This window comes from Homo sapiens, chromosome 22 (genome assembly GCF_000001405.40).
Source record: "Homo sapiens chromosome 22, GRCh38.p14 Primary Assembly".
Taxonomy (NCBI): domain Eukaryota; kingdom Metazoa; phylum Chordata; class Mammalia; order Primates; family Hominidae; genus Homo; species Homo sapiens.
Window position 1 is genome coordinate 39,808,281 of NC_000022.11, and position 12,176 is coordinate 39,820,456.

The 12,176-nt window shown below is 39.5% G+C and overlaps 1 protein-coding gene across 7 annotated transcripts in view; it reads right to left on the minus strand.

Annotated features, from left to right (window-relative positions):
* ENTHD1 (ENTH domain containing 1) overlaps positions 1–12,176 on the minus strand; it is a 150,717-nt gene that overhangs the window by 65,237 nt on the left and 73,304 nt on the right. Inside the window, exon 6 of one of the 7 annotated variants that reach the window (XM_006724153.4) lies at positions 9,404–9,898. The exons of the other annotated variants lie outside the window; for them this stretch is intronic. Within the exon in view, the coding sequence (XP_006724216.1) occupies positions 9,894–9,898 (5 nt within the window). The 3' untranslated portion in view covers positions 9,404–9,893. Of the gene's footprint in view, positions 1–9,403; positions 9,899–12,176 lie in introns of those variants that run through there. 7 annotated transcript variants of the gene reach the window in all.

Consider the following 12,176-nt stretch of genomic DNA (forward strand, 5'->3'; position numbering starts at 1 on the left):
TACATGTTCGTGTCCTCTCCCTATCCTGATACCTCATTTGTTTGATTAGGTCTGTTAAGCCACTAGACTGGAAGCTGCATAAAGGCAGGAACTTGTTCACCATTGACTACCTAGCAGTTAGCACAGTGCTTAGTACACAGTAGGCATTTAGTAAATTTCTGTGGGATGAATAACTTACCCTTTGAAAGAAACATACAGCTGTTTCATTCTAATAAAAAGTCAACTTGGAACTTCCACACTTGAGAGGTCATGGTCATTTTAATCAAGAATCTCTCAGTTTAGATTAGTCTTCGTTCTCCTAATTTGAACTGTCAAAGGGGTTGTATGACATTGTTATAATACATACACTCATTAGTAATGGGAAAAAGTTTAGGTTGGATGGCTTCTTGACCTAAAATTCATAAATAGTTCAAAAGTCAGTGTCTCTTAATATTCTTTTAATTATCACAATAATGAAAAAAGTTGGCCACTGCAGATAAAGAATGGCATGTTTAAATGTACTTACCACCCTTCTGGTCTTTTAATTGACTTCTACTGCAAGTGTGGCTTTGTTTTATTTATTCATTCTTATCAATGAAAGCCTTTAGTAGTCTCATTTATCTGTTTTTCATGCATGAATCATGCTTTCCCATATTTTTAAAGTAAAAAAGAGGGGGGAATTAAGTTTAAAAAGGTTTTAATTGGATGTCTTAATGTCAACCACATAATACACAGTTACTATGTTGATACCCTCTCGAATTTCTACAGTCAGTTCTATAATTTGAGGCACACTTTGCAATGCTCTGATGATTGATATAAAGACACTTTTAAGGAAATGTGAAGGCAGGCAGCAACTTTCCCCAAAATGGAGGACATTGTAAATGCATCCAATTTATGAACAACACACAAAAACTGTATGCAATGGCTTGAAAAGCAGCCTATATACCTAGAAGCAGCCAAAGAACACAGGCCAAAGTCAGTGCTGTGCTAGTGGCAGATTCACTAGGATATCAGAGAGTGGTCTGGGGACTCCTGGGTCACACTACTCCTTCCTAAATCAGACAAACACATAGTTACACAGTAAGTCAGATGCTGATAAGTGCTATAGAGTGAATGAGCAGAGAAGAGGGAGGAGCACCACTGGCAGTGGGAAGGTGTTGATTTTGAATAAAATGTCCAGGAAAGCCTCCCTGAGACTGTAACATCTCAACAGGATGTGAAAAGAATGAGAGCGTGAGAATGTGCCATGTGTGTAGGACTCAGAAAAAGGGCACTTCTCTGGCACACTGGAGAGGGAGCTTAAAAGCTCCATGAGATGGGACTGTCGGGATGGATCTATTACATACAATTTGCTCAGCCACCTTTTAATTGCCTTGGAGGACACTCTGTTCACTAAGGCATTTAAAAAGCATACTTTGATGGGGCACCAGCATCTCTGAAGAGCTCTGTAGTGGTTGTCATCTGTAGGCTGAGATGACCAGGGATAACAGGGATGGTGCAATGGAATTGGGTTTCCTGATCTCACTGGGAATACTGGGGTCCTGGAGCAGTAAAAGCAAATAGCAGTGCTTAACTCTTGGAGACAAGCTAGGCATGATAATCATAGTAAGCCACAGGGATGCCGTGGTATCCATTTTCTGTTTTTTGTTTTTTGTTTTCTTACTTTCAGGATGTGTGGTGGTGGTTAATGAATCACAGGACCTGTGGAAAATACATAGGCAGCCTACTAAGTGAGCTTAATATAAATAGACAGAAAACCTAACTACTGTCATTATAGGGGATTCATGGCCTCTTATCCAGCTCCTAAGCCTAGGCCAGTTCACAGAGCAAGAACTTCTTGAGGGGAAGGTCTGAGCCCTTTGAGAATGAATCCTGCAATGTAGCCACAGGTGTGTACAGTAAATCTTCCCCTAAGCCTCCCCTAGAGGTACCTGAAGCTATTCACAACAATGACTGTACTTAGATAAGTACTTATCCGATATTGGCTCTGAACTGACACTAATTTCTGGAGATCTAACAATGCCACCATAGTCTACTGGCCAGAGGAGGGACTTAAGAAACCAGGTGACACATGAAGTCTTGGCCTAGGAGCTACCTCACACCGAATCCAGCTAAACCACAGACCTACCTCTAGTTATTTCCATGGTCTCAGAATGTATGGTGAGAACAGACCTGCTTAGTAACCTGCAAAATTCTCCCCTCTGCTTCCACCACCCATGGAGTTCAGGTTATTAGGGTATTAGAGAGATCAGGCAGAACCGCTATAATTATACCACTTCCCCTCTAAAAATCTTTCTGGGGAAATTACAGAAATTAATGCCACCATCAAAGATTTCAAAGTTGTAGGGGTAGTGATTCTTACCACATTCCAGTATAACTTGCCTGTTTTTCTGAAAAGCCATGTGGACTGTCAAGGATGACGGTAGATTATTGCAAATATAATCAGGTGATGGTACCATGCATAGCTATAGTTCCAGTTGTGGGCTCTTTACTAGGGCAAATCAACACAGCCCCAGACATCTATAGTATATAGGTGTCAACCTAGACACTTTCCTAAAATCCCTATTAATAAAGATAATGAGAATCAGTTAACTTTCATGTGACAGGGACAACAGTATACTGTCTTTACTGTCTTGCCTTATGGCTGTGTCAACTCTGCTATGTCCTTCAATAGAGGCAAGAGGGACCTTAAATCTCTTGATGTCTGTCCCACAGAGCAACACACTGGCTATCACATTGATGATACAGTGCTAAGTGGACTTATGCAAGAAGTGGCAAGCACTCTTGATGCTACATGTATGTAGAAGGTGGCCAATAAGTCCTGGGAAAGTTCAAGGGAATGCCACATCTGTGACGTTTTTAGAGTATCCACTGGTCTGGAGCATGTCAGGATATCCCCTCTAAAGTCAGAGACATGTTATTGCATCTTGAAATGCCCAACATAAGGAAAGAAACATGATAATCATGGGCCTCTCTAAACTTTGGAGGCCATGGGTATGCTGCTGTCTCTATTTACTGCCAGTTTTGAGTGAGGACCAAAGCAAACAAAAGGCCCTGCAGCAGGTCCAGGCCACTGGATAAGCTGCCCCGACACCTGGATCATATAACTTAGCAGAACCAAGGGTAAGGGAAGTGCCTGAGGCAGACAGGTGATCAATGGAGCCTCTGACAGGCAGCAGTAGGAAAATCACAGAGCAGACCCCTGGGAGTGGACCACTAGGGCTTTGGAGTAAGGTCATGCGTTCTTCTGCCTACAACTATTAGCCACCTAAAAAACAACACTTGGCTTGCTACTACACCCTGATAAAGACTGAATGCTTGACCACAGGACACCAAGTGACTCTGTCAGCTCACATTATGGGTGTTACCTGATCCATAGAGATGAAACTGGATGTACGCAGTAGCATTCCACTGTCAAATCAAAATGACATAGATGAGGGCTGGGTGTGATGGCTCACGCCTGTAATCCCAGCACTTTGGGAGGCTGAGGCAGGTAGATCACAAGGTCAGGAGATCCAGACCATCCTGGCTAACACAGTGCAACCCCGTCTCTACTAAAAATACAAAAAATTAGCCGGGTGTGGTGGTGGGCGCCTGTAGTCCCAGCTACTCGGGAGGCTGAGGCAGGAGGATGCTGTGAACCCGGGAGGCGCAGCTTGCAGTGAGCCGAGATCAAGTCACTGCACTCCAGCCTGGGCGACACAGTGAGACCCCATCTCATAAAAAACAAAAACAAAAACAAACAAACAAACAAACAAAAAAAAAACGACATAGATGAAACCAGTCCTGAAGCCCATGTAAACAATGCAAGCAGGTGGCTCATACTCCATGGAGCATGATCCCACTCTTTCACTGCCTCTTCCTCAACCTACACCTAGAGCTAGAGCTTCATGGATAATTCTCTATTGTCAATCAAAAGGAGTATGTATAGGATTGGTTTAAACATGAAATTAGCCAGGATTGCTAATACGTCAAGTATGCCAGCGCTACCCAGAAGTGGGTAACTGCAACACTACAGCCCACTCAGAAGTGCTCCTGAAAGACCGCAGGAGAATCCTCCTAGTTGACAGCATTGGAAACAGTATATCTTCACACAGGACATCCTGGAAGACAAGATACCTAATGGGTATTGGCCGGGGACTTAGAAAGAGTAACAAGGAGGCATGTGGATGGACTTTTCAGGATGTGCACACAATGTGAAGATATTTATTTCACTATAAATGCTTGCTAGGGGACGTTCACTGTGGAAGAGGTCTCAAAAATCAGGTGGGAAAAATGCTCGACTTAGTGGCTGTCAATAATCTTCTTTCCTAGTCATTCCAGTGGTTCTTCAGTGGGCCATGTAGCAAGGATGACCTCAACAGGCAGGGGCTCAACAACATGACTGCTCCTCACCAAGGTGACCTGGCTGCCACAGATGCGGAGCATCCAGAATGCCCGGAGTGGTAGCTAATGCTACATCACTAGCAGGGAAAACAGCCAGTTACCAGGTGGCAGGTTGATTACATTGGATCCCTTTGTCTTTTTTTTTGTTTTGTTTGAGATGGGAGTCTTGCTCTGTCGCCCAGGCTGCAGTGCAGTGGCACAATCTCGGCTCACTGCAACCTCTGCCTCCCAGGCTCAAGCAATCCTCCCACCTCAGTCTCCCGAGTACCTGGGATTACAGGTGTGCACCACTATGCCTGGCTAATTTTTGTATTTTTAGTAAAGGTGGGGTTTCACCGTGTTGGCCAGGCTGGTCTTGAACTCCTGACCTCAAGTGAGCCGCCAACCTCAGCCTCCCAAAGTGCTGGGATTATAGGTGTGAGACACTGTGCCCGGCCCAGTGCTTTGTCTTCACAGGGAGAGACACATTGTGGGTGCAGCTTCGCCTTCCCTTCCTGCAGCCCTCTGCCAGCACCACCGTTTGTACACTTAGAGAACACCTTATTTATTTTCACAGCACCTTACAAACAACCCTATGCAAACTAGTCCAGAGTATAAAAAAGAGCAAATATATTCCAACTCTTTTGTGAGTGTAGCATGACCTCAGAATCAGAATATGACAAAGAGAATTTTAGAAAAAACAGCCCTAGCTAATTTACTCATAGACATAGATGCAAAACTCCTAAACAAAATATTAGCAAATCAAATCCAGTAATACATATCAAAGATAATATATCACAGCCAAATTCAGCTTATTCCAGGAATTCAAGGTTATTTTAATATCTGGAAATCAACTAATTTATGAAATTAACAGCCTAAAGGAGAAAAACCTGTAACTATCCATATAAATGCTAAAAATGGAGAAACTCAACATATAGTCAAGATAAAACTGTTAAGGAACGGAGAGCTGCAAAAACACACATTAAGCCTCTATCTTAATGACAAAATGTTTAAATCATTCTCATTAAGTCTAGGAAGTCCACGATCACACTTTCATTCAGCACTGTGTAAGTCATTCCACCTAGCATGGTATGGTAAGAAAACAAAATACACAGTGTATGGCTTGAAAATTAAGAAATAAGTTCATTATTATTTATAGATTAAATGATTTTCAACCTAAGAAACCCAGAAGAATCTACAGATAAACTGGGAAAACTGGTAAGAATTAAGCAGGTCTGCTGGATACAAAATCAATATACAAAACTTAATTCTATTCATTTTCATCAACAAACAGAAAATGCAATTTATAAAATGACACATTTTAGAGTAGCAATGAAAATACATAAGTACCTAGGACTAAACCTAACGAAAGATATACAGAACCTATATGAAAAACTATTAAAAAAACACATTAAGGAAGAATTAAATGAATAGAATGATTGGATATCATAAAAATGTCACTTCTCCGAATTGACTTAAAGATTCAATGTAGAGCCAATCAAAACTCCAATAGGTTTTATTCAAGAAACTTGACAAACTTTCATGTGTGAAAGCAAAGGGTCAAAAATAGCCCAAACTAATCCCACCACTTTGGGAGGCTGAGACAGGCAGATCCTTTGAGTCCAGGAGTTCGAGACCAGCCTAGGCAACATGGCAAAACCCCATCTCTACAAAAAAAAAAAAAAAATAACCAGGTGTGGTGGTGTGAGCCTGTAGTCCCAGCTACTTGGGAGGCTGAGGTGGGAGAATCACCTGAGCCCAGGAAGTTGAGGCTGCAGTGAACCGCAATTGTGCCACTGCATTCCAGCATGGGCGACAGAGTGAGACCTTGTCTCAGGGAAAAAAAAAGAAAGCCAAAACATTCCTGATGAAAGAAAAGTCATCAAGAATTATTACAAAGGTGGCGTGATTAAAACTATTTATCAATGCAGGGTTGGTCATATCACTGACGGAGCAGAATAGAGAGGCTATAAACAGTTCCATGCATATGTGTAAATCTGCTTTAGGTTACAGATGGCATTGCAGTTCACTTGGGAAAGGACAGACTTTTCAATAAATGATTCTGGGACAGCTGGCTATCCATTTAGAAGTAAAATTGGACTTCTACCTCAATCTTACACCAAAATTAATTCCAGCTGCATTAAATATTTAATTGTGGGAAGCAAACTATAAGAAAATGTTAGTCTATATAGAATTATCTTTATAGTCTTGAATAAGAATTTCTTAAAATAACACAAGATACATATGAAAAGTACAAACCATAGAGAAAAAAAAATCTACCTCATTAAAATTCAGAACTTCTGTTATTCAAAAACTCCATACAAAGTGTAAAGACAAGTCACAAACTGGAAAAACGTTTAAGAGATGTGATACTTAGGCTCCAGAATAAAGAACTCCTATAAATCAATTAAGAAAAAGACAAACAACCAACTGAAAAATGACCAACAGACATGGACACGTCAGATGAGGAAACATGAATGAGTCACACCTATGAAATGTGTCGACATATGAAAATATGCTGAATTTCATTATAAGAAATACATTTTAAGGCCTGGTGCAGGGGCTCATGCCTGTAATCCCAGCTGAGGTGGGTGGATCACCTGAGGTCAGGAGTTTGAGACCAGCCTGGCCAGCATGGTGAAACCTCGTTTCTATTAAAAACACAAAAATTAGCAGGGCGTGGTGGTGCGCGCCTATAATCCCAGCTACTTGGGAGGCTGAGGCAGGAGAATCGCTTGAATCTGGGAGGTAGAGGTTGCAGTGAGCCAAGATCGTGCCATTGGACTCCAGCCTGGGCAACAAGAGTGAAACTCCGTCTCAAAAAAAAAAAAACAAAGGTAAACATTTTAGAACAAATGATACCCACCCAATAGACTGGATTTTTCTAGGGGAAAAATTGGTGAGGACATGCAGCAACTGCAACTAGAACTTTGGAAAACAATCTGGCATTACCTAGCAAATTTGAAGATGTTCATATCTAACCGTACGGCAATTTCGCTTCCAAATATATGCCCTAGAGAAACTCCTGTCCCTGAGAACCAGGAATCTTGTACAAATATACAAATGCAAAAACAGCATTGTTTACAATACAATAACTTGATACATAATGAGGATAGTATTCCACAGAAGAATAAACAAATGCATTATAATATATACATACAATGAAATACTGTACAGCGGTGAAAATAAATAGGTGAATCTTAAGCAATGATATTGAATGATAAAAGTCACAGAAAAATAAATTCATAATGACTCTACTTATATAAAGTTCAAGAGCCTGTGAAACGAAATATATATTGTGTAGAGTATAAACATGTAGTAAAACTATAAAGAAAAGCAAGGAATAATGAGTAAAGAGAGGTTCCTCTGGAGGTGAGGATAGGGGCAAGTCAGTGAGACAAGTCCCTAGTGCTAGTGGGGGTGTGAGGGAGTAAGACCTCTCTACTGCAGGCCAGAGTGTGAACAGCAGATCGTCACGTGCCTATGGAGGGCAAAGGCAAGGGAGAAAAGGAGAACTGAGGATTCTGTACCACAATAACTCTCCTACTTTATTTTTGTCTTGAGCTGAAGTTGCCAAAATCATAACATGGAAATTAGAACCATCTGTTGACAGGATAAGTTAGTGAACTGGACAGAATTTACCAAGAGAAATTCAGAATAATGTATTTTAGAATCTGTGTCAAATCAGGGAAAAATATAAAGTCTATTTTATTTGGGAGGGGAAAATAACGCCATTTCATCATTGTTTATAAAAGCAAAAATACAGAAATAACCTAAATGACCATTATGACAATACTAGTTAAATAAAATAGTATACATTAACACTATGGTACGCTGTTATAGTTGTTGCAAAAAATTAAACAGACCAGAACAAGAAAAGTGAACCAATGGAATAGAATAGAGTTGTTAAACAGATACTATTTAGTGCAGGTTAAAGAGTCATTTCAAAGCAGTCGAGAAAAATGGCCTAGTCAATAAATGTTGAGACAACTGGCTGCCCATTGCCCTTATCTAAAACCATTCGCAAATACTTTAAATGCACATGGATTACAGAATAATTAAAATAAAATATGGGCAAATATGTTCTATTAACTTGGTATAAGAAAAGCCACCTTAAAAACACAAAAACTAAAAGCCATGAAGAAAAAGAGGAATAAATATGACTAAATAAAACATAAAACTTCTACAAAGACACCATTAAGAAAGTTGAAAGACAATTCACAAGCTGAAAGATATTTGCAACATAAATAGCAGAGAAAGAATCAGATATCTATGTATATATCTATAGATATATAGAAATATATCTGATATATATCTCTATATATATAGCTATAAAATCAATTTAAATGAAAAAAATAAAAAATAGGTTAAAAAACAGGTAATCCATAGAAGAGGAAATAGAAATATCTACTCAATATGTAGCTATATGCAAATTATACCTACTATGTAATGCAACTTTTTACCCAAGTGATAAAAACATAAGGCTTGAAAACATCAAGTGTTGGTGAGAATGTGAGTGAATAGGCTGCAAACCAGGCTGTGAATTGATACTGATATTCTGAAGGGCTGTTTGGCTGTATGAATTACGATGAAAATGGGCACAAATTATGACCAAGAGAATCCATTTCTAGGAGCACATCCTAAAGAAACACTCACATATGTGCACAAGGTTATTCACTGAAGCATTCTTTGTAACAGTGAAAAACATCAAAATGTCATCAGCAAGGGAATAAACTATGATAGCCAGGATTGCAGGAGTTTTTAAAAATATGGCAAATCTCTACACATTGACATACACCGAAGGATAGTCAAGTGATATTCTTAAGTTAAAAAAAGCTTCAGGAAAATGCAGAATAAGGTTTTAAAACAAAGTGAATTCTATATATTTCTAAAGGTACACGTATGTATGTAATACACACAGAAAGGTATGGGAGGTAATCACCAAACTGGTAATAGTTCACTCTGCGGAGGGGACTGTGTTGGGGTAAGGGACAGTCAAGGGAGCTTTTGACTTTCTCTGTATTTGAATTTTTTTAAATTAAGAGTATATTCACTTATATAATTTTAAAATAAATATTTATTAAATAATTATGATACAAAATTATAAACTGTATAATGGGGAAATGGGCAAAGTCTTCTGGGAACATAGTGAAAGGAGAAACTAGTTTAGCATGCAGAAAGATTTTATAGCAGTTGTGACATTTTCATTGGACCTGGCTATTCAAATAGGATTTTGTCAAGGATTTATAATTTGATGGAAGATTGTTGCAGATTATATTTTCCAAAGATGACTATACCAACATATGTCTCATCCAATATGCCTTTCTTTCAATATGACACTGACACTCCTTCCTCCATGGAGAGGTTGTAGGGGGGTCTATGTCCCCACCCCCTTAAACTTGGGCAGGACTTTGTGATTGCCTTGTTGAACAGAATGAGGTGGAAGTATTACAGCATGACTTCTGAGATGATTCAACTTCTGTCTGGTCCTTTCTTTCACAAAATACTCATCCTTGAAACACAGCCACGATGCTGTCAGGAAACCCAAACTAGCCTACATGGAAAGACCACATGAAGAGGCTCATATGGAGAGGAACTGAGGCCTCCAGCCGATAGCCAGCATCAACTGCTAGACACGTGAGTCAGCAAGCCTTCAGATGATTCCTGCCCCAGCCTTTGTGTTCCCTGGCTAAGGCTAGATATGCATCATGGAACAGAGACAAGCCATCGCCACTGTGCTCTATCCTAATTCCTGACCCAGAGAATCCTTGAGCAGAAAAAATGATTATGCCACGAAGTTTCAGGGCAATGTGTTACACAGTCAAAGTAACTGGAACAAAGACATTCTAAAGAGAAGAAAGTACACAAGCAATGGAATGTCACAGGGCATTGTGAGTACTGGCAGTTTTAGGTGATGAAGCCCATAGTCTGGCTGGGACCAGACTATGAAAAGTACTTGTCTGGTACTATTTTAAAAATTAGACTTATCCTATTGCCAGTGGAGAACTGTTGAAAGCTTTTAAGCTGGGAAGTGAAATGCTAAGATCTGCATTTTAGCAAGATATCTCTGAGACTACTGTAAAGGAAAGATTGCAGAAATGAATGACTTAAAAATAGAAAAAGCCCCTCTGATTAAGATGGGTCCAAGCCAAGTAAAATGGTGGGATCCCCCCTCCGGCTACATTTTTTACTTTTTTCCTCCTTAGGATTGCTTCTTATGCTCATTTATACTCAATTTCACTTGTATTAAAATGTTAGGAGGGAAAACTTTTCTCCACACAAAAACCTGCCACAGATGTTTAAAGCAGCTTATTCATAACTGCCAAAACTGCAACCAAGATATCCTTCAGTAGGTGAATGGATAAATAAACTGTGGTACATTCTATTCAGCATTACAGTAGGCGAATGGATAAATAAACTGTGGTACATTCTATTCAGCACTAAAAAGAAAAGAGCTATCGGCTAGGCATGGTGGCTCATGCCTGTGATCCCCGCACTTTGGGAGGCTGAGGTGGGTGGATCACAAGGTCAGGAGATCAAGACCATCCTGGCTAACACGGTGAAACCCCGACTCTACTAAAAATACAAAAATTAGCCAGGCATGGTGGCGGGTGCCTGTAGTCCCAGCTACTTGGGAGACTGAGGCAGGAGAATCGCTTGAACCCGGGAGGTGGAAGGTGCGGTGAGCCGAGATCGCGCCACTGTACTCCAACCTGGGTGACAGAGCGAGACTCTGTCTCAAAACAAAAACAAAAACAAAAAAAGAAAAGAAACAAAGAAAAAAAAAAGACAGAAAAGAGCTATCAAGCCGTGAAAAGATATGGAGGAACCCAGAGTGTTAATTACCAAGTAAAAAAAAAAAATCTAAAAATCATACATACCATCTGATTCCAACTATATGATGTTCTGGAAAAGGAAAAACTATGGAGACAGTAAAAAGATCACTGGTTGTTAGGGGTTAGTGGGAGGGAGGGATGAATAGAGCACAGAGGATTTTTAGGGTAGTGAAACTACTATGTCTGATACTATAATGGTGGATACACATCATTATACATTTGTCCAAACCCACAGAATATATAACACCAAAAGGGAAGCCCAATATAAACCATGGACTTCAGATGATTATATGGCAATGGAAGTTCATTGATTGTAACAAATGTACCACTCTGGTGTGGAACAGGGGTACGTGGGAACTCTTTACTTTCTGCTCAAATTTGCTGTGAACCTAAAACTGCTCTAAAACAAAGTCTATTTTTAAAATTTTAGGAGAAAAAACTGTCAGGGGGTGCAGAATACAAAACATTTTCCTTAATGCTCTTCTTTCAAGCTTCTGGATCTAAATCTGTTTAAGAATACAAAGCAAGCTTTCTAAAAATTATAACCACTTATAACTAATTATCCATGTGACTAATGCCATCCTTATACAAACATCACTATAACCCCCAATTTCTTGTTTTTGTGTTTATTAAAATATCCTCATCATTCTCACAACTGGCTTTGTAAGAAAACTCTATAAATATGAACTTGAACAAGAAAATAAACCCATACTAATAAACTATAGCACTTATACACTGGATATTATAGATCTATATAAGGAGAAAATGTGAGATGCATGGTCCAAGAAGAGTGGGAAGATATAACTCAAAACATAAAAAGCCACCTCTGTGGTAAGGGAAAAGATGCCTGTATGAATATAAAAGCAAAGATTTATAAGGTGATGAAAGATACTAATGAGAACGTTTCGTTCTCATGGTGGCAGAAGATCTTCCATTCTACTTTCTGAGAAAATCAAGAGGAAGAATGCATTGAAAATTGAGAGTTCATGGAGAATA